Source organism: Homo sapiens, chromosome 14, assembly GCF_000001405.40.
Source record: "Homo sapiens chromosome 14, GRCh38.p14 Primary Assembly".
Classification (NCBI taxonomy): domain Eukaryota; kingdom Metazoa; phylum Chordata; class Mammalia; order Primates; family Hominidae; genus Homo; species Homo sapiens.
The window spans coordinates 54586874-54609498 of NC_000014.9; the positions used below are offsets into that span (position 1 = coordinate 54586874).

The window sequence follows — 22625 nt, forward strand, 5'->3', positions numbered from 1 at the left end:
GTGATTCTTTTTGCTTAGTTTTGCTTTGGCTATGTGGGCTCTTTTTTGGTTCCATATGAATTTTTGGATTTTTTTTCTGATTCTGTGAAGAACGATGGTGGTATTTTGATGGGAATTGCATTGAATTTATAGATTGCTTTTGGCAGTATGGTCATTTTCATAATATTGATTCTACCTATCCATGAGAATGGGATGTGTTTCCATTTGTTTGCATCATCTATGATTTCTTTCAGCAGTGTTTTGTAGTTTTCCTTATAGGGATCTTTCATGTCCTTGGTTAGGTATATTCCTAAGCATTTTATTTTGTTTGCAGCTATTGTGAAAGGGGTTGAGTTCTCGATTTGATTCTCAGCTTGATTGCTGTTGGTGTATAGCAGAACTACTGATCTGTGTACATTAATTTTGTATCTTGAAACTTTGCTGAATTCATTTACTAGTTCTAGGAGCTTTTTGGATGAGTCTTTAGGGTTTTCTAGGTATACAATCATATCATCAGCAAACAGTGACAGTTTGACTTCCTCTTTACTGATTTTGATGCCCTGATGTCTTTCTCTTGTTTGATTGCTCCAGCTGGGACTTCCAGTACTATGTTGAATAGAAGTGGTGAAAGTGGGTATCCTCGTCATGTTCCAGTTCTCAAGGGGAATGCTTCAGCTTTTCTCCATTCAGTATAATGTTGGCTGTGGCTTCTATGCCAATTTTGCTGAGGGTTTTAATCATAAAGGGATGCTGGATTTTGTCAAATGCTGTTTCTGCATCTATTGAGATGATCATGTGATTTTTGTTTTTAATTCTGCTTATGTGGTATATCACATTTATGGACTTACATATGTTAAATCATCCCTGCATCCCTGATATGAAACCCGCTTGATTATGGTAGATTATCTTTTTGATATGCTGTTGGATTTGGTTCGCTAGTATTTTGTTGAGGATTTTTGCGTCTATGTTCATCAGGGATATTGGTCTGTAGTTTTCTTTTTTTGTTATGCCTTTCCCTGGTTTTAGTATTAGGGTGATACTGGCTTCATAGAATGATTAGGGAGGATTCCCTCTTTCTCTATCTTTTGGAATAGTGTCAATAGGATTGGTACCAATTCTTTGAATGCCTGATAGAATTCAGCTGTGAACCTGTCTCGTCCTGGACTTTTTTTTTGTTGGCAATTTTTAAAATTACCATTTCAATCTCGCTGCTTGTTATTGGTCTGTTCAGAGATTCTGTGTCTTCCTGGTTTAATCTAGGAGGGTTGTATGTTTCCAGGAATTTATCTGTCTCCTCTAGGTTTTCTAGTTTAAGCCTGTAAAGGTGTTCATAACCTTGAATAGTCTTTTATTATTTCTGTGGTATCAGTTGTATTATCTCCTGTTTCATTTCTAATTGAGCTTATTTGGATCCTCTCTCTTCTTGGTTAATCTCGCTAATGGTCTATCAATTTTATTTATCTTTTCAAAGAACCAGCTTTTTGTTTCATTTATCTTTTGTATTTTTTTTTTGTTGTTGTTTTAATTTTATTTAGTTCTGCTCTGATATTTGTTATTTCTTTTTTTCTGCTGGGTTTGGGTTTGGATTGTTCTTGTTTCTCCAGTTCCATGAGGTGTGCCCTTAGATTGTCCATTTGTGCTCTTTCAGACTTTTTGATGTAGGCATTTAATGCTAACCATGACATCCTTCTGAAAGATTGGGCCAATGAGTGCTCCTGTGAACATTTAAGTATTTTTTTTGTACACTCTTTTCTACAATGGATATTGTTAAAAACAAACAAAAGAAACCCTTGTTGATTGAAGAGGCTGTCATTATTTTCAGATACATTTCTTTGGTGATACTTTTTCATATATTTATGGTCTAGTAGTTTTTATTTTTTCTTCTGTCTCCTTTTCCATGAGAACATTTGTTTTTTCTTATTAATTTATTAGCACTCTTTGTCATATATATGGATTTCCCCCCATTTTGTATATTTGATGTTTGGAAGTTTACATTTTTATGCAGTCTATTGACAGGAAAAGGATTTTTAAGAGCAAATGATGTTTCTATTAGAAGTGTATTTTCTTCCCTTGGATGGTATTGTTAAGTTTAACAGAAGGAAGGAAGAGGAACTGCTCAATTTTAGTTTAATCCTCTCAGAAGAGTTTTAAGTTATTAAAATGTATACAACGTATATATTAAGAATTATAACATTTTCGTACTTGCATTGTCTGTTTAAACAGTATATCAAAGAGCTCAAATTAGCACCCTTATCTTAGAAAGTTTTACATTTGGATTTTGGTCTATTTTATTTCAACTTAAGACACATTAGAGGTGGGACAAGAGTTACAATGGATAAACGATTCATTGTGGGTGAAATTTTCTGAAGATGGAGTAATTTACACGCTCATCTATCAGGAATGACTGGAGATGAGGATGGAAACAGTGACTGCCATGGGTTATTCAAAGATGATAGTTCTCTGATTCACAGACACCTACTGGGTCAAAAAGCCTCATGTTTTTACTCCCATGAGTCTAAATTTTATGGCCATGTGTGGTATAGATATTTTGGTTGGATTTTCCATGTTGATTTTTTTTGGACCATTCTGCCTCAAGTTTATGTTAGCAATATAAGTAGCAAGACTCAACTATGAGCAAAATTATGTAATAAGCCTATTGATATTAACATCCACTAGAGCCAGTGATTCTCTGTGTGGGAAGCACGTATGTCTTTTGGGGAGGGAAAAAGGTGGCTTGTGTTATTCACTCATTCATTCATTCACTAATTTTTATTTTGTGCCTATTCGGAACATGTTTTTCAAAAGAACATATACTGTGTTAGAGGTTGAGAGTCCAGCTGTATACAAGACACAGTCCCTTCCCTAGTTTGAAAGCAAAGTCCATTGCCCTGATTTATCTTGCATGATTTGTTAATCATGATATCTTTACTTTAATTTTCATATAAGGCAGGAGTTCCCTCTGATCGACTGCCTCAATGTCTGCATGGTTTACTTCACATCCTTCAGGTCTCTGCTTATATGTCTCCTTCTCAGAAAAGCCTTCCCAACCATCTCTCTAAACCTCTTGCCCTGAATTATTTTATTCATGCTGTTTATTACCACATGGCATATTACATTACATATCTGTTTATCATCCAAACCGTATGCTAGAACGTAAGGTCCATGAGATGAGGGTGCTGTCGATTTTGTTGACTGCTTTTTCTCTAGCATAAAAAAATAGTTTGTGGGATATAGCAGGCACACAATAAATATTTGTTGAATGAGTTAATTCACTGAATATTTGCATGCTTGTGATGTGTCTGGCACTGTCAATGGTGAAAAGTGCTATAAGAAAAATAAAGCAGGGGAAAGGACAGAAAGTTCTCATGGTTCACGCCTGTAACCCCAGCATTTTGGGAGGCCAACATAGGAGGATTGCTTGAGCCCAGGAGTTCAAGACCAGCCTGGGCAAAATCGTGAGACTTCATCTCTACGGAAAACAAAACAAAATTTGCTGGGCATGGTGGTGTGTGCCTGTAGCCGCAGCTACTTGAGAGGCTGAGGTGGGAGGATCGCCTGAGCCCAGGAGGTCGAGGCTGCAGTGAGCCAAGATTGTGCCACTGAACTCCAGCCTGAGTGACAGAGTGAGGCCCTGTCTCAAAAAATAAATGGAATATTTAAGAAGAGCCTAGGTTATAAAAGGTGGGAAGATGCTGTGTAGGCAGCTTTATCTTCCCTTTTCTCTTTCCTGAGTGTCTTTGAATCCCTCCCTCTCCTCTCCTCTCTTCTCCTCTCCTAGCTGGTGGTAGTCTCTCTGTCAGCTGTGCTGAGTCCTTCTAGGGAGTGACATTGCATTCTTTTCATGACCTTCCCATGAGTGGCATAAAAACCCAGATGTGCTCCACACATGAGCTGTGTATTCCCCAGACTACCAGGTAGCATGCTTTCCAGCACCTAGCTTTTTTCAGAAGTAGCCAAAGGCCACCTTAGGGTTTGAGAAATAGTCAAATGTTAGTAAATGTTCAAGGGTGCTTTTATTATAGTTTTCTTTTTCTGCTTTAATAATCACATAATACTGAAGCTTAGTTTTCTGAGAGCTGCATCATAGAGGAATTTAAAAGTTTTTAAAATCAGAGTTTCTTATCTCAGACTTTTCCCCTCAATTGCTGAAGCAGCTTGTCACTCAAGCCTTCCAAGATCTTGGTCATCGTCTCTCAGAGGTAGCATGCAAAGAGGATGAATGAGGGGCTATTTTTCTGGCTGTCACCGTGATTGGCTTTTAGCACAGAATGATAGGGGTACGTCGTGCGATACATGAGATAGTTGTCCACAAGAGAAGCTGTCCTGCCCAGAATGATGGTGGTGCCCCTAGTGAGAAATGCTGACTCTAGCTCTATCCCTGGGGTTCTCAGCAAGGGTATTCCTAGCCTCTAGGGGTACTTTAGAAATTTGTGGATGTATTCGTGGTTTTCACAGTATTAGGGGGTGGTTTGCCATTGGCATTTAGTGGGTGGTGCCAAGGGTGCTAGAAATCAGGCAATGTACAGGGCAATTGCTCCACATCCCATTTGACTTTCAAATGCCTGCCAGGCAACAGAGAAATAAAAAATTTATTGGTAGTCATCAGAGCCTAAATGATCTCTATAAGCAAAAGGTATTTTTTGCACAATTTAAATGGAGGGAATCCTGTATTTTGTTTTTTTTTTTTTGTTTTGTTTTTTTTGAGACTTTACCAGGAGTTGTTTCCCATGTTGGCATCATTACTTGTGGTTTTGAAATTGGCGTATCAGTCAGCATGTGTAGCTGCCCCATTCATGGTGATTGTAGCCTAGGGGCAAGAAGCTGACTACCTCATTGTGTTTTCTACAGCTCCTGTGCCTGGACATTTACATAGTGTAGTGTATATTGTATCATTATAAGTTCTTTCCCTTTTATTTCTCCTTTATATTGCAACTAGGTCATAGCATTGATTTATTAAAATTATATGCAGATTAGGTTATATTGTCTGTGATTTCTCATTTCAGGATTGCAGAGGGGGCCTGGAGTCTGATGGGGTTGAAAGCCTTCTCTCTAACCTAGTTTTGCAGCCATATGTCTCACCACTCTTCTCCATGAGCCCTGTTTCAGTCAAAGTGACTTGCTTTGTGTGCCTTTTTCCCTTTTCCTCCATGTGTGCGTGCCTTAAGCTTAAACTGCCCTTCCTCCTCAAAGCTCCCCCCTCTTCCCCCTCCCCATGTGCATCCCACCCATCCGTCAGAGCCCTGTTCCCTGGCAGCTGAGCGAGGTCATCGTTTATTCTTCCTTGACCACCATAGCTCTGTGACTTTCTATTTTTTTGAACTACCCTAGCAATTGTAAGAACTCCTTCAACACTTATCTACATTCTGGTAGCATTGAGTACCTTATGTTTAAGTTGTCTCCTCAAATGGTTTGTAAGCTCCTTTCCTGTGGTAAACTTGTCTTAGTCTTCTTTTCATCCCATGCAGTGTCTACAAACACTTTGCATCTGGCAAGCTCACACACATGCTACACTTTCTTCTCCTCTTTCCTTCCCCAAATATGTATCCTTTCCTGTCTATCATTTTGCTTATTACCGAAGTGAAACATTTGCATTGTTAACACATTTTTTTTCTTTTTTTGTTTTTTGATACCAAGTCTCGCTCTGTCGCCCAGGCTGGAGTGCAGTGGTGCGATCTCGGCTCACTGCAAGCTCTGCCTCCCGGGTTCACGCCATTCTCCTGCCTCAGCCTCCCAAGTAGCTGGGACTACAGGTGGCCGCTACCACGCCTGGCTAATTTTTTGTATTTTTAGTAGAGATGGGGTTTCACCATGTTAGCCAGGATGGTCTCGATCTCCTGACCTCGTGATCCCCCTGTCTTGGCCTCCCAAAGTGCTGGGATTACAGGCGTGAGCCACCGCACCCGGCCATTGTTAACACATTTTTAAATACAGAGAAGTAAAAGAAGAAAATCATCATCATTGATCCTGCCACCCAGAGCCACGCATTGCCTCTTATTTTAGAACATTTCCTTCTAGGCCGTCATCTTTATGTTTATGCGTGTTTTTAACAATGTAGGAATCAAGTACTTTATACAGTTTGTATTTTGCTTTTCCTTCACATTTCATTTAATGTTATATTATGAGCATTTTCCAATGTCACTAAATAGTCTTAGAAAACATGTTTTATGGAAAATTTTAGACATAGAAAAAATAGAATGATATAATAAACCCCTAAATACCCAACATTCAGCTTCAGTAATTATCAGCATTCTGCCATTCTGAATGTGCTATTTGTAATGGATGCATGCCATTCATTGTTTGGATAATATATATGTTATTTAACCATTTCTCTGTTACTGAAAATTTAGATGATTTCTAGTTTTCTATAATTATAGATGCTTATGTTTTTGTTCTTCTGGTCACAATTACTATTCTTCCTTCCTGGAGAACCTAATTAATTTCTTCATCATTAAGTAATTCTTGATTACTATTAGTTTCGTATTCTGGGGTTTTTATTGTATTTCATATCTGTGGCTGGTTTATTTGTCATTTTCTTTTCTCCATCCATCAACTATTTCTTGTGTTAGCCAGAATGGGTCTCAGTGAATTACAACAACAGGTTTTTCTATTCATTTTTTAGATAAAACTGAAAACTGGCAATGTAAGAAGATGATATTTACTTTCTAGGTGATTTAGGGGCAAATACAAGAAGGAAAGAGGAGATGATTTCAGGAGAAATGAAATCCTGTAAATTATCATCTTTACCCTATGGAAAATGATTTTACAAATGCTTAGTTTCGCTTAATTTTGATTGAAAAATGGCCCCCCTCTAAAGGCTGGAATAGTCACTAAGCTAAAAGTGCACTTGAAACCAATATGTATGAGTGTTTTCCTCAAGCTGATTTAAATGTATATTTTGATAAGTATATTTGGTATTAAAAACACCCAGCAGCTCCTCTTTTAAGGAGGTGCATTCTCAGGCAGTGGGGAGAGATGGTCTTCTTAGGTCTGGCCAGGAGAGAGGCATGGGAGGATGAGCCAAGTGGGGGAGAATCAGAGCGGTGGTATTACTGGTGCCTTGTGAAAAGGAAGGAAGGAGTGCTGTTGTCCTAGTTCTGATGGGATTTCTTCTGTAGTATTTGTTGAAATTTTCAGACCAGATCATATACAGGAAGATGACTCATGTGCCTACCTACCTACTCTAAGAAAATGTCTTTGTTTCTTCTGTTGCAGAAGTAAAACATGATTGCTATTAAAAAAAAAGTACATTTTCATAAATTTATAATAGAGGTAGATAACATAGAAAGTAAAAGTCTTCCATAACCACAGACCTCCCCACTAAATGAACACTGTTAACAGCTCTGTTTATGCTCTTCTTGGTTTTCTTTCTGCCTATTAAGTGTATATTATCTGCATAAGGTACAGAACGAAAATGCCACTCTTTGGCTGAGTGTGATAGCTTATGCCTGTAATTGCAGCACTTTGGGAGGTCAAGGTAGGAGGATTGCTTGAGCCCAGGAGATCAAGGCTGCAGTGAGCCATGATCATGCCACTACACTCCAGTCTGGGTGACAGCATGAGACTGTCTCAAAAAAAAAAAGCTACTTTTAAAATTGCAAGTGTTAATTAGATAATCAGAGCATGTTCAGACCTTTGAAGTATACAGACCACATGCAGTTTCTCCTGGCTAGAAGTAAGATGATAAGTACAAACAGCAGGACAGAACTTGTTGGATATGGAAATTGTAGTGGAAGGGAAAGCTTAAGAAAAGGGAGGTGTAAAAGCCCAAATTTTTATTAGTATTCAGAGGTTAAATTTTTATCACTGAATCAGATTTAATTGGTGGTTGTACTTTTTCCCTTGGGAACACATTAAAACAGTCACTACTACAAGATGACTAAATCATGAATGAATTTAAAATATTAAACTAGTCTCAGACATACTAACATATCAGCAACTTATTGGTGCATAATTTTTGCATTGGAATTTAAGTGACGGAAATATGCATGGCTGACATTAACACTTTTTTCTTTTGATTTTGGAGCCACTTCAAATAATACATCTTACAAGGTCTATTTCCAGTTTAGGGCCAACCATGAATGATTAATTATATTGCTACCCTAACAGGACTTTAAATAATGAAGACAATGACATTTTTGCAATGTGAAATCCCATTTTATTCATTCATTGAAAAAATACCTACTCTGTGCCATGAATATTAAGAGTACAAACTTATAAAACTTGCCCCTGTCGTTCTTTGGTGTGTCGCAAATGCTTTTCCATTCATCTGGAATACCTTCCTCTCTTCCATCTGACGACATCTCTCTCAGCTTTCATTTCCCAACACAAAGGTCACTTCTCAGGTATAGCCATTTTAGTTCACTCTACAGACTGTCTTAGCAAATCTCAGTGATTTTCTTCTCACATTTGAGCACATCTTCACTAGAGTTTTATCTTACTATCTTATAAGTATACAATCACATACATGTTGAATTCCTTGAGGTCAGAGTCCTCTTATCTTCATAGCGGCAGAGTCAAAATGGGTACAGGGCTGGTGCCATATATATATATGTATACATGTGTTTATTTATATATATATTATTATAATATATAAAAAATATATACTGTATGTATATATATGTTGAATAAATGATTAAACGAACTAAAAAAATCTAGTAAGGCAGACTAATGTCCTTACACTCCTAACTACAATACAAGGAACCAAGGAACAGCCTTCGGAGGGGAGGAGGTTCACTCTAGTGTCCCTCTTAATGCAGATTTTTAGTTTACGATACTTAGATATTTAGATACTTGGATTAAGCAGGGTACTAAAAGTGTTGAATGGGGTTAACTGAGAGGAAAAGCTTCAATATAACATATTTAAGTGACAGTTCTCATTCAAAAATTGTGAAAAATTATTAACATTCTTATGTGGGCATTTTAGGAAAGTGTAAGAAAAAGATCTTTGTCCCATGGAGCATACATGATTTCCAAATTGTATTTTTAATGGGATGATACTAGTTTTTTGCTTTTCATTTTAACTGTTCCAGAGTGGGACTGATAGTCTAAGGATCTTAGTAATTCAGAACTGTGATTTGGAAATTAGAGTTCATGAAAGATTCAAGAAATAGTATCTTTTCAACCTAGAAAAAATAGAATTGAAGTGGCCTCACTAGTGGATCTCTTCCTCTGTGGAATTAGACTCCCAGGTCTGGTAGAGAAGGATCTTGGTCTTGTCAATTTAGTGTGGTAACTAGATAATGGTATGTGGCGTGGGAAGAGTACCCGTCAGGTCCTGGCAGGAAAGAGGTGGTATTCTCAAAGGAGGTAATTGAGGAGACCTAAATAATGGAGCTACTAACAAAGATGTAGGCAGGATTCAGGGAAATCAACACGAGTTGGCAAAGCATACCAGAAATAACAACAGAAGAACGCCATCACCACTCCTAGTCCTAAAGAAACAAGGAAAGGGGCCGGGCGCAGTGGCTCATGCCTGTAATCCCAGCACTTTGAGAGGCCGAGGCAGGTGGATCACCTGAGGTCAGGAGTTCGAGACCAGCCTGCCCAACATGGTGAAACCCTGTCTCTACTAAAAATACAAAAATTAGCCAGGCATGGTGGTGCGTGCCTGTAATCCCAGCTACTCGGGAAGCTGAGGCAGGGGAATCGCTTGAACCTGGGAGGCACAGGTTACAGTGAGCCGAGATCATGCCACTGCACTCTAGCCTGGGTGATATAGTGAGACTGCGTCTCAAAAAAAAGAAAACAAGGAAAGAACTATAGGAAGGGCCTTCTCTCCTAGGAGCTGACGCCTTAGGCAGAAGATCACAGCCACTGACAAAGCACTCTGCCAGGGAGGGAGCCGACGGGGAGATGCCCCAGCCTTTCTCTCCTCAGGGTCCTGCTGGCAATCCCATTGGAGGACCCAAATGAACCCCAGGGAACCACGAGATGTAGTCTGAAGGGGCAGCCTCCCAGGGCACACATCAGGGTGAGAAGGGTGGAGAGTGGTTCTTGGTGGGGGAGGGGGTAAATGCAGAATATCCAGCCGGGAGAGAAAAGCTTCAGGTTCTGAAAGGTAGCCTTCTCTGTTCATAGCCTTCCTGAGGATTCTGTTGCTTGTAGCCAGACCTCTAAATCAGATCTTATGAAAGGGAGCCCCATGCAGAAGTGTTTTGTTTCATGCCCATTGCATTTTATTGAAAAAGAAAACAAACAAAACACCATATATCTGTATTAGCTTTGGGGAGTGACACCTCAAAATCTGAGTTTCTTTTTTTTTTTTTTTGAAAAATGGAAGATTTGGCAGCACCAAATATGCATTCCTATGTGGGTACAATCTGCTTAGCGTGTAGGAGCTGTCCTGTTAGGTAGGCATGCTTCAGTTTGCCTCAATCCCCACATCTCTCTATCTCTCTGTTGTGGTCTTTTTCTTTTTCTTTTCTTTTTTCTTTTTTTTTGAGATGGAGTTTTGCTCTTATTGCCTAGGCTGGAGTGCAATGGCATGATCTCGGCTCACCACAACCTCTGCCTCCCGGGTTCAAGTGATTCTCTTGCCTCAGCCTCCTGAGTAGCTGGGATTACAGGCATGCGCCACCACACTTGGCTAATTTTGTATTTTTTGGTAGAGACAGGGTTTCTCCATGTTGGTCAGGCTGGTCTTGAACTCCTGATCTCAGGTGATCGCCCACCTTGGCCTTCCAAAGTGCTGGGATTACAGTGTGAGCCACCGCACCCGGCCTTTCCTTCTATCTTTTTTTTTTTTTTTTTTTTTTTGAGACAGAGTTTCACCCTGTTGCCCAGGCTGGAGTGCAGTGGCATGATCATGGCTCACTGCAGCCTCGACCTCCCAGGTTCAAGCGATCCTCCCATTTCAGCCTCCAGAGTAGCTGGGACTATAGGCATATGCCACCATGCCTGGCTAATTTTTGTATTTTTTTAATAGAGACAGGATTTTGCCATATTGCCCAGGTCTCGAACTCCTGGGCTCAAGCAAACTGCCCGCCTCAGTCTTCCAAAATGCTGGGATTACAGGCATGAGCCATCACACTGGCCCCCTGTTGTGGTCTTAAGCACACATTGCTTCTGCCTGGTCCTGATAGACATCTGAGTTTATAATCCTTGGTCTCCATAAAGCAGTTTAGAGAAGGAAGGACAGATGAGTCATGCTAATTTAGAAAGAGAGTGAGTTCTGTCTTGGAAGATGCACTTCTCTACAAAGGGAAGAAAGAGACAGGGAGACTAATCTTGTTGGGGACACAGTCTGAGCATTTGTTAGACTAACTAGAAGGTTTTACATAGATAAATAATGTGAAAACTGAGACACAAACACGGTTAACATGGTTCTGATTAAATATCTAGAAAATGACACAGTCAGCGTTCAAACTTAGGCAGTGTGTTTGTGGGTCCTTGCGTAACATAGCTGTTATGTTATACTGTCCACCAAGCTAATCCCATATTGCCCTGGCCTTCTAAATCTTTTTCCTCTACAAATATATACATGTAGTTACATGCAAATACACAATGAGGTAATACTGTATGCATCCTATTTTATAATTGGCTGCCTTTATCTTAATAATAAAAGCAAGCATCACATTTTTAATAACTGTGTAATAGCTAATCCTATGAACACATCATACTTGGTAGATATTATTATGATTAAAGAATTTAGTTTTGTCCCAACTTTTCACTATTATAACATATTGTAATGCACTTCTTTTGTACACATATTTTAAAACACTCATTGGACTCTTCCTTAGGAAAAAGTAGATTTGCTGTGTCAAAAGTTACTATTCCTCTCTCTCACCCCTTTTAAAAATTGCTGTATTTTTCTGGTTTTAAAGGAAACATAAGCTCACAGCAAAAAACAAAAGTCAGAAAATAAAGACAAAGAAAACAAAATAGACAATCTGTTATTTAGTGGTATAAACACCACTATCGGGAACGTGTGTTATTTACATTTCTGTTCCCTCTCCCCTCCCCTCCCCTCCCCTTCCATCCACTCTCTTGTACAGGGTCTCACTCTGTCGCCCAGGCTGGAGTACAGTGGTGTGATTTCAGCTCACTGCAGCCTCAGTCTACCAGGTTCAAGTGATCCTCCTACCTCAGCCTCCTAAGTAGCTGGGATTACAGGCATGTACCACCACACCCAACTAATTTTTGTATTTTTGTAGAGACATGGTGTCACCATGTTGCCCAGGCTGGTCTTGAACTCCTGGGCTCAAGCGATCCTCCCACCTCGGCCTCCCAAAGTGCTAGGATTACAGGCATGAGCCAGTGCACCTGGCCCTGTCCTTATTTCTTTAGCAAAAATTTCCCAAGAGAAGAATTGCTGGGATAATGCACATTTAAATTTTTGATAGACATTCCCAAATATTATACCTGTTTTTGAGACCTTTAATTCCTGTTGTCAAATTGCCCTATATATGGAGTAATAAACACGATTTAAAGAAATGAGGACTAAAAAAAGATTATATATAACCCAACATAAAGGCAACCTCTTAGGCGTTGACAGAAACTGACAACTTTTTATCTGTGGGTGCGATCCATTATAAGTAACCTGAGCACCTTATTTTTTCTTTTTAAACTCTAGGTAGGATACCCGAGGTCCACAAATTTTTCATAAGAAATATTTTTTCTCTGCCCTATGAGATTTTAAAAAATATTATACTGCTTCAATTGCATCAAAAGAAATGGACCCTAATATCTATGATGAAGGATTTGGAGTTAGAAGACCTGAGTTTCAATTTTGGCATGGCTGTTTGTCTAGCTCTGTGATCTTGGACAGGTCAATTGACTTGTCTTAATCTTCTCATCCATTTAGTGGAGACAGCACCACTATTCACAGGACTATTGTCAGAATTACGAGACAATAGCATAGGTGAAAATATAAAGTACTTTGTAAACTAAAATGTTACACGGATAAGCTGATATCATTGGTAGCAAGAGCAACACTATTCCGAAGTTTTTGTGGTGTAGTTCCCTCTGATTATTCTTCATATTACAGGTCAATCAATTGGGTAGACATCCTCTTAAACCTCTGTTCCTCTTTTCTTCTTAAAACACTGAGATCTCTTCATCTGAAATAAAAATTTCGAGAGAGTTTATAGATTTGTAGTCTTGGATCCTGGAGAGAAGAGACATGTATTCCTGTATACACCCAGATCATTAATCCTACTTTTAATTCTACTCCAAACCTTGTACCACATCATTTCCTACTGCCAGGCTGGAGTGAGTAATGACAACCTTTTGGCAGATCAAATTTCAGTTTTAGAATTCAGGAAGCAAAGCTGTGTCCTGGCCTTTCTTTCTTCTTTTTAAATTATAGCTAAATGTCCTTTTCTGTTTGGGGGCAAGTTACATGCCTGGTTCTGCCAGAGCAAACGAAAACCAGGCACCTTCTCCTGAGCATGTCACTGTCATAAACCCAGGCAGTCTGGTGAGGCAGCTGCTTAAGAAATAATATTCCACCATTAACTGCCCCACCCCTGAAATTAGCATCTTTGGAAGGCATTATCCAAGGTTTTGTTGTTGTTACTGTTTTTGTTTTTCTATTTATTCCTAAAACAAATCTTCATTAAGTTCATCCAGTGCTTCCATTGACCCAGCTGCTTGGAATTCAGTGAACTGTCAACAGAATATAATTTCTTTCAGAATTTGTTATTCTACTGGAACTACACTGCAGTGTCTTTGTGATTGAGTTAGCCACCAGATAACCTTTGCCCTCAATTTTCTAGACTAAAATTGTTTTCTTTGTTGTCCAGAACTTTGAGTTGCCATCTCCCAAGTAACTGTTTAGGATGGAAAACATATTGAGAGCTTGCTATTGAAAAATAATATGAGTCTTGTTGGTAGGATCCATTGTTGAAGGTGAAAGCCCCTTTACTAGGAGGCTGGATCCTTTGATTTTCTGACAGAACATTGGCCAACAGTACTGACACAGTACATTGAAATGTTCACCAACAACCTTAATCCTTTCTTGGGGAAGATAATCTGCAGGGCGGGTTAGTCATGAATTACTCCAGGTTCTCCAAGAGCTAGCATTTTATCGTATTAGCACCAGCAAACAGCATGCTTAGACTACATCAGCTCAGCTATGCATAGCTATGCCTTTAGTGAGCTGCATTTCAGTATCTGGGTTTTGGCTTCTACCAACAATTAGAGGGAGAAATGGCCATCTGGCTTCAGCTGAAATTGCCATTCCTTGTTTCTTAGAGTATTTCATGGAGGGGACTATGCCATAAATTCCTCTTCGAGCTCAGCAGTAGAAAATGGATGGTCCCTCCTGACGAATCCATCTGCTTCCACATTTCAATTTCATTTATGAAATTGAGAATTCATAACCTATCCTGTTTCCTTTTTAGCTTTGGTTTCCTAAAGCTTGAAGCCAAAATTAGTGCTTCATTACAATAACTCTCATCTCTGTTTCCTGGTAGTTGCCTCCCCTTTCTTCCATGTGGATTAGCTCTTTTTTTCTTTATTTCAACTATCCTGCTCTTGTGATTATTTTGAGCCATTTTAAATCCATTATGGAAGTAGGTAGAGTCCAGATTATAAATAAAATGGTATCACTTATATTATTGTCACAGTCACATTATTGGTTCATCTTTGGTGTTAGTCTCCTGCTTCCTTCTGAACTTCTCCTTTGTCCTTTTTGATTCATTCATATTGGGTGGGGATGAAAAACAAGAATGAGTCTCAACAGAAACCCAGCGACATTTTAAAGCCTAAAGTTTTGATGCCTATTGTACAAATATTTTTATCTTCATGTAAATCAAAGGGCCATCACCTGGCTTAGGAATGGCAGGATTAGAGTAATTAGTGGAATTTGTTGCGGTTAAACAGTGGACTCCATAGCCAGGGCCTCCCGTGGAGGCTCCAATGTTGGAATTTATAAAGTGTGTTTTATTTGAATCTTGTGTCTGTGTGTAAAGAATTGCTGTTTTAGGCAGAAACCAAGGCTGATGACTTGGAGAGAATACTCTAACCCCTCAGACACTCTTACATCACTATCCTAAGAACTAATAATGGGTATTAGAGTTGTAAAACTACAGTCTGGCTAGACTGACTTAAAGACTTTGGGGTGAGTTGATGGTGCTAAGTCCTTAGAGAAAGAAGAAAACTCCGAAGGCATCTGGCAACCATGTTGGAGAGAAAATTGAGGGAAGCAATGTAGAAACAAAGGAGAAAGCAGGACAGAAACAGCAGGGTCCTGGGATCCGCCTGGTACCAGAGACTTCTTTTTTTCTCTCACTTGGGCTAGACCCAGAGACAGGCTTCTGGTTTAGAAGAGGAATGTGGGACTGGCTGGCCATGGATTAGATAACTGTGGAATCAATGCCCTTTTACTTGGGACATCTTTCCAAGTCTGGATTATTTCCTTAGGATTAACTGGGAAATCACTGTACAAAGAAGAAGCATATCAATAGACTGCTTCCTTATTTTCAACCCAGAATAATGCATTTTTCCATTGCTAGAGGACTGCTTTAAAATACACACACACACACACACACACACACACACACACACACACACACACACACACGAAACACCAGGATAGCACAGACAGTGGCTTTCAGGGATGAAGATACTTCCTTTCCTGTCTGTTCTAGTCTCTTCTGGTTGCGTGGAACAGAAACTAGTACAAGCTAGCTTAAGGAGATGAAGCTTTATTGCAAGAATATAAAATGTTCTTGTGGGAATGACATGAGTAGCCCCATGGACAGAAACCTTCTCAGCCCTGTTGGGGCTAGAATTGGGAAGCTTTGGAGACTTAAGACATTCACCTTCGGGACATCACACACCGGGGCCTGTTGTGGGGTGGGGGGAGTGGGGAGGGATAGCATTAGGAGATATACCTAATGTAAATGATGAGTTAATGGGTGCAGCACACCAACACGGCACATGTATACATATGTAACAAACCTGCACGTTGTGCACATGTACCCTAGAACTTAAAGTATAATTAAAAAAAAAAAAGACATTCGCCTTCTTACATTCTCTCTCAGTTCATGCCTGTCAGGCTAAATGTCTGGATCCTTGTTACTTCAAGTGCACACTGGGGACCAGTATCAAGGACATCACCTGAGATCTTCTTGGAAATGCAGCTTCTCAGGTCACACTGCAGACCTACTGAATCCCAGCCTACCTTTTAACAGAACCCCCTGGTGATTTGTTTGCACATTAGAGTTTGAGGAACACTGGTGTAGGTTTCTGGTTACTCATAGAGTTGTTCCCCTTACTCAGGTGCCCACCCCAGTGGTGGATGGGGGAGCGAGGCGGACCATGTGACTTGGCATGAACACACTGGGGCCACAAGATGCACATCTGATACATAATCTAAGACTGTTGGGTTTTCCTTTAGCTCATAGCATTTCCATCAAGGGTATTGGTAGTCTCCAGTTGCTGAGACAAAGTGAATAGAGAATCTCATGATTTATTTAAAAACAAAACTATTTTAATATGTCCCCATTTTATTTATATCTTACTTTTTATTAGCCCAAAGATAATTAAACCCGAAAATACTGTAGACTCTGTATAATTTAGGCAGTTTTATGAATATGGATTTTAACTCTGACCTAAATGAGCTGTCTAGTGACTCAACAATAGCTACCTCTTGCTTCAAGATAGTAGGAACTGATCAGCTTATAAAGCTGATGCTGCCCAGTTCTGTTCTGAGTCCAGTGTGCATAGCTCTGGCTCCCACCATGCCCGTTAGCCTGTGAAATTGATTTTTTTAAATGGTTGTACAGGCATTTGGCCTATAGCCAAAGAAATGATTGAGCAAGTGAGTCCTGTTTCTGTATTGCTCTATGAATAAGTAGTTAGACCATTCAAGACTGCTGTACATGAGTCATTCATTCCCAGGGACACTTATAGTTCTTTTACATTTGGTGCATTCAGCATCCTAGAAGGCCTTTTCTTTAAAAAAAAAAAAAAGAACTTTTGTATTTCCATTATTTTATTTGTTTGTTTGTTTGTTTATTTGTTTATTTGTTTATTTATTTATTTTGAGATGGAGTCCTCGCTCTGTCTCCAGGCTGGAGTGCAGTGGCACGATCTTGGCTGACTGCAACCTCTGCCTCCCGGGTTCAAGCGATTTTCCTGCCTCAGCCTCCCGAGTAGCTGGGACTACAGGTGTGTGCCACCATGCCCGGCTAATTTTTGTATTTTTAGTAGAGACGGGGTTTCTCCACGTTGGCCAGGATGGTCTTGAGCTCTTGACCTCATGATCCACCCACCTCGGCCTCCCAAAGTGCTGGGATTACAGGCGTGAGCCACCATGCTTGGCCCCATTATTTTATTGTATCCTTAATTCCCTTAGCTCACCCTTGCTGAGCATAGTTGTCTGTGGTAGAATTAGCCATTGGCTCCTTGCTTGCTCTTCCAGTTTGTGGTGTTTCAAGGTGCTGGAATCCACCACCAAGAATGGTGGCTTCCCACAATGCCTTTTAACAAGAATGTGTCTCTTCAATGCACGTTGTAACTTTCTCTTTGAATTTATTGAAGAACCACAAATTAAGTCTGTGTCTTTATTGAAGCAATTCAGGTGATGGGAAGAGGCTCTTGAATCAAGAAAGAAAGGAAGAACCAGGAGTGGTGATATTAGGTAAGGGGAGATTTAGGATCACTCTTCCGCAATACAAAATGAACTTCCTGTGCTAAGAAAACTTACAGCCCTGAATAAGGAGTTGATGGCATGTCTATGCAACGTACAATTTTATTCCTGGGACGTCGTTGGAAAACCATTATATTAGATGATCTTCAATCTTTTGTAGTTCTGAAAATTTATGAACGCTTATACATGTTGCTTATAAATCCTAAATGAAAAAAGGGCTCCCTGTCTTAAATTTATGTTCTATCTAATATGCACTTTTAAAGTTTGAGTTTTTATTGCACTTCTGATCTTTTTAAAATTATAAAACCTATCATACATACAAAAGAGTATATAACACTTATTAATATGTATAGTTAAAGATTAATAAGATGAATGCCCCTGTGCCTACCACCCAGCCTAAAAAACAGAACATTACCAGTGTCTTTGAAGCTGTCTCTGTTAATGTGCATTTCTAGACTGCTTTAACTTATTGGATTTGTGCATTGCAGTGTTTTATTTGTGAGCAGTTATATCAGTGAATACCAAGTGAGAGTGGCTCAGCCATTTTTACCTTATGCTCAAACTCCTTTCAGATTTCCAATCTGTCTGATATTGGATTTAAGAACAGTTAAATCTTACTGCTTGGAAACTGATCTTTAACAAGCTAGTTTTCCTGCTTTAAAATAATAGTGTTGTTCGTGATGTTAATTTCCCTGTTTCACTTGACAATTACAGCGGGGGTAGCTTCCCTGAGCACAGGATGAGGATCAGTCAGCTTGAGTATCTGGTACAGAAGGCAAGCTCCCTGTGCACCAAAAATCTACTCAGGCCCTGGAGAAAGCAAAAAAAAAACCCAGCAGAGCATAATTAATGGAAACTATCTTTAAGTCATCAACATTAAATGTGATTGAGGTAGCAGTATTTCCTGGGTGCATGATTGGGGCATTGAAGTACTACACTTTGATTTCTGATGTGAATTATTTGTTGCCATCTGAAGTTCCAAAGAGCCAAGATTGGATGTACATATTTTTAAAAATATGTGCTTTGGTGAAAAGCAAAGTTTTGGAAGGGTAGAAAACTTTCAGTAGCCACCAAATTGTGTTATTTTAAAATGAGCAGGGAAACCTCACAGGGATGAGAATACCTAAACTGACAATTCTCAGGAGGCCCTGTCAAAATGCCCATCCTGCTAAAGGTTTGAGTTCATGGCCAAAGGCATTGTTTTTTTATAAATATAATTTTAATGGCTATAATAATTTCTGTATTGCTCCATTGTTTGGTATGTAACTATTGTAATTAATGTTGTCATAAACATATTTGTGTGTAAAACTGTATTTTCTTAAAACATTGGGGCATTAAACATGCCTATATATATATATATGTATATATATAAACATGCCCATATATATGTATGACTTAAAAAATTATTTTACGGAATGATCACTTTCCATTACAGACATTTTGAGGAACTCATATATTTACAACATGCTTGCTAAATAGTCAACATTTATCCTTATTCCTCTGACTGCCCTGGTAGAGACAGACTGGAGCCTAACTTAGAATAAAACAATAATCAACCTATTTCAACAGGTGTTTATTAGGTGCCCATTTTTACCTTCAGGTTGTTCTAAGTACTAGGAAAGTGAGGAAGTTGCAAAAAGAAGCTTAATGTGCAGCCCCGCCTTTTAGAAAATATGAAGCATGTCATTTCTGTTACAAGGAAAAGAGCTCATTCCTCTATGTCTTACTTCTGGGCTGTGTGTGTGTGTGTGTGTGTGTGTGTGTGCGTGCACGTGCACGTGCACGTGTGCGCTCATTTCTGCAATGCTACTTCCTTGCCATGGGCCTGCCTCATCTGGTTTCCAATAAGAAGAGTTCCAGATTGGGGAGCACCCTGCCATCCTGATTGGCCATCACAGATTCGTATGGCATTGATGTTTACAAGCTGTTTGCAAAGTGTTGCTTGGTGCTGCCTAATCTGTGGCATGTGCCTGCTTCCGACACGTCCTTTGTGGGAGGCAGAGCTGAGATTGGGTGGCGGGGGGAGGAGTTTGCCCCTGCACTGTCAGGCTGCACTTGAGGCTGCAGGCCACTTGTCTGAGGCAGGCACAGTAACCTCGGGAAGATGAAGGGCACAGGGGCCCTGTTTGGTCTCCATGTTCTAGAAATCATCACCAGGTCTCACCATGTTCATTCAGCACCTTTCTTTGGGGTTTTCTAGGAAATAACTCTATATACTGTCCATTTCAAAGATTTAGTTTTCAAAGTCCAATGAGATTTAGTGACTCAGAGAATTCTTAATTTAGCAAGCTACATGGTATGTGGCAGTTAAAAGTATTTTATACCCCCCTCCTTTAGTTTGGTGGCTGAAAAGAATCTACAGATTGCCTGTCTTATTCACTGTGGAAATTTTGTGGTCAACACATATTCACTTATTTGCCAACATGGTCTTCAGTGCTCCCTTTGGAGGGAAGATCTTCACTGGGCTGTGTCCTGGCTCTTGGTTGGTGAGGAGGTGGAGTTTGGAGAGCAGGGTGCAGCCTGCCAGTGGAGATTCTCAGGGAGTGGACTCACCAGAGCTGGGATTACCACTGGACTCGGAACATGAGGCCTTGGCCGAACGTGGCATAAAGGAGAGACAGGAGTTCAGTGCTTTCAAGGTTATCAGGTTGGAAAGCAGTGGCAGGGAGGGAAATAGGGAATACAGCTGAGGTCAGAGAATGGAGCAGAAGAGCATGGGCTGTGTCATTCCCATGGAGGGAGGGCGTTCCTGATGCGTTGCTGGGGAGAGATGGGAACGTAGCCCTCTGAGGAATGAAGTTCCTCATGTGAGATCGTGGCAGGTAGATTTGGTTTTCATTTTAAAATGGGAATTAAGGCTGTGAGGAGACAGGAATGTATTGGAAAATGCCTCTAGTCAGGAGATAGTAAGAAGTATACAGGATGGAAAGGGAGTCAAAAATTAGGAAAAGTGGCACTTTGAGAGGCTGAAGAAGGTGGATCACTTGAGGTCAGGAGTTCAAGGTCTCATTTTTTTTTTTTTTTTTAGACGGAGTCTTGCTCTGTCGCCCAGGCTGGAGTGCAGTGGCACGATCTCTGCTCACTGCAAGCTCCGCCTCCTGGGTTCATGCCATTCTCCTGCCTCAGCCTCCTGAGTAGTTGGGACTACAGGCGCCCGCCACCATGCCCGGCTAATTTTTCTATTTTTAGTAGAGACAGGGTTTCACCGTGTTAGCCAGGATGGTCTCGATCTCCTGACCTTGTGATCCGCCCGCCTCGGCCTCCCAAAGTGCTGGGATTACAGGCGTGAGCCACCGCGCCCGGCCTCAAGGTCTTATTTTAATGGCTATAATAATTTCTGTATTGCTTCATTGTTTGGTATTTGACTATTATATATGGGCAACATGGTGAAACCCCATCTCTACTAAAAATAGAAAAATTAGCCAGGCATGGTGGTGCAAACCTCTAATCCCCGCTACTCGGGAGGCTGAGGCAGGAGAATCACTTGAACCCGGGAGGCAGAGGTTGCAATGAGCCCAGGTCACACCAGTACACTCCAGCTTGGGTGACAGAGCAAGACTCCGTCTCAAAAAAAAAAAAAAAAAAAAATTGGAAAAGTAACATGCCATGCCAGGAAAGGAGGACCCTCAGCCACTAGTGTCGAGAGGACAGAAGCGAAGAGAGCAAACCATTTGGACTAAGAAGGCCTGAATTTGAGTCCTGGGCTTTGCCACCTACTTTATGGCCTTAGCTGAGTTACTGAAGCTTTTTGGACTTGAATTTCCTACCTTCATGTTGGGGATGATCATAATATTTTCCATACCTGGCCCAGTTGTAAGTGGATCAGGGAGATGGTGTACTGGAAAGCACTTGGTGCTCTGTGGTGTCCTGTACAAAACATAGAAAATCTGCCTCCAGTCTCTGTCTCAGTCCAGGTCCTCACCTGTCATAATAACAATTACTTTTTGTTATATACTGCCTAATTGGAAAGATTCCTGTTGCATATATGTTCTTAATCGTATGCTCTCACATATGTATTGAAAGGAAATGGGGCATAAATAACAGAAAATAGCTTGCCTCTGTATCGCCCCGGGAAATATTGGAAAATGCCATGCTAAGCCCAATAACAGCAGGGAGTATGCCACTTTTGTCTAATACTGGACATGCTGTGCTGGCACATAGTAGGTTATTGAGTTTGATATTTCGGTGAATGAAGGTCTTGCCAAATTCTTTGAGCAATGGATTTTGCATTTACACTAGCTGGAGAAAGGGAGTTACATTCAGAGCAGCCCAACTGTGTATTTTTAGTGGAAGAAGAAGGCTCTTTCTTAGGTAAGAATATAAAAAGAATCGTAGATATAGAGGTGGAAGGGACAAAAGAAGAAGCAATAGCATGGTCTCCATACTAATCCCACTTTAAAGGTGAGGGCGTGGAGAAACCATAGCTGGACAGTTAGCAACGGAAGACAGCTATGAGTCCAGACCTTTTGAGATGATGTTAAAGTCACTTAACAAGAATAAGTAAAAGGCGCTTTTCACATGTCAGAATGTTTTTTCTTGAAAATTAATGAAGGCAAATGTTCATTTTATTCCTGGTAACTAACAGCCTCTCAGAGATGTGTATGTCCTAATCTCCAGAACCTGTGAAAATGTTATGTTACATGGAGTAGGGGGATTTAGGTTGCAGATGAAATTCGTTCTTGGTTGAGTTTAAAATAGGAAGATTATCCCAGATTATTGTAGTGGGCTCAATGTAATCACAGCGCCTTTATAAGTGGAAGTTGGAGGAGGAAGAGTCAATGAGAGAGACGTGATGTGAGAAATACTCAGCCAGCCACTGCTGACTTCAAAGATGGAGAAAGGGGCTATGAGCCAAGGAATGCAGGCAGCCTGAAGAGGTTGGAAGAGGCAAGGAAAGAGATTCTCCCCTAGAGCCTCCCGAAGATGTGAAGCCCTGCTGACACTTTGATCTTAGTCCAGTGAGACCCATTTCAGACTTCTGACCTTCAGAACTGTAAGATAATAAAAGTGTGTTATTTTAAGCCACTAAATTTGTGGTAATCTGTTACAG

At 40.2% G+C, this 22625-nt stretch overlaps 1 protein-coding gene and 1 long non-coding RNA gene across 17 annotated transcripts in view; both read left to right on the forward strand.

Annotated features, from left to right (window-relative positions):
* SAMD4A (sterile alpha motif domain containing 4A) overlaps nucleotides 1-22625 on the forward strand; it is a 228000-nt gene that overhangs the window by 21558 nt on the left and 183817 nt on the right. The gene's annotated exons all lie outside the window — the stretch shown is intronic.
* The window catches only part of LOC112268133 (uncharacterized), a 64608-nt gene continuing 59156 nt past the window's right edge, over nucleotides 17174-22625 (forward strand). The window contains exon 1 of the long non-coding RNA XR_002957606.2: nucleotides 17174-17566. This is a non-coding gene — a long non-coding RNA (uncharacterized LOC112268133). The remainder of the gene's footprint in view (nucleotides 17567-22625) is intronic.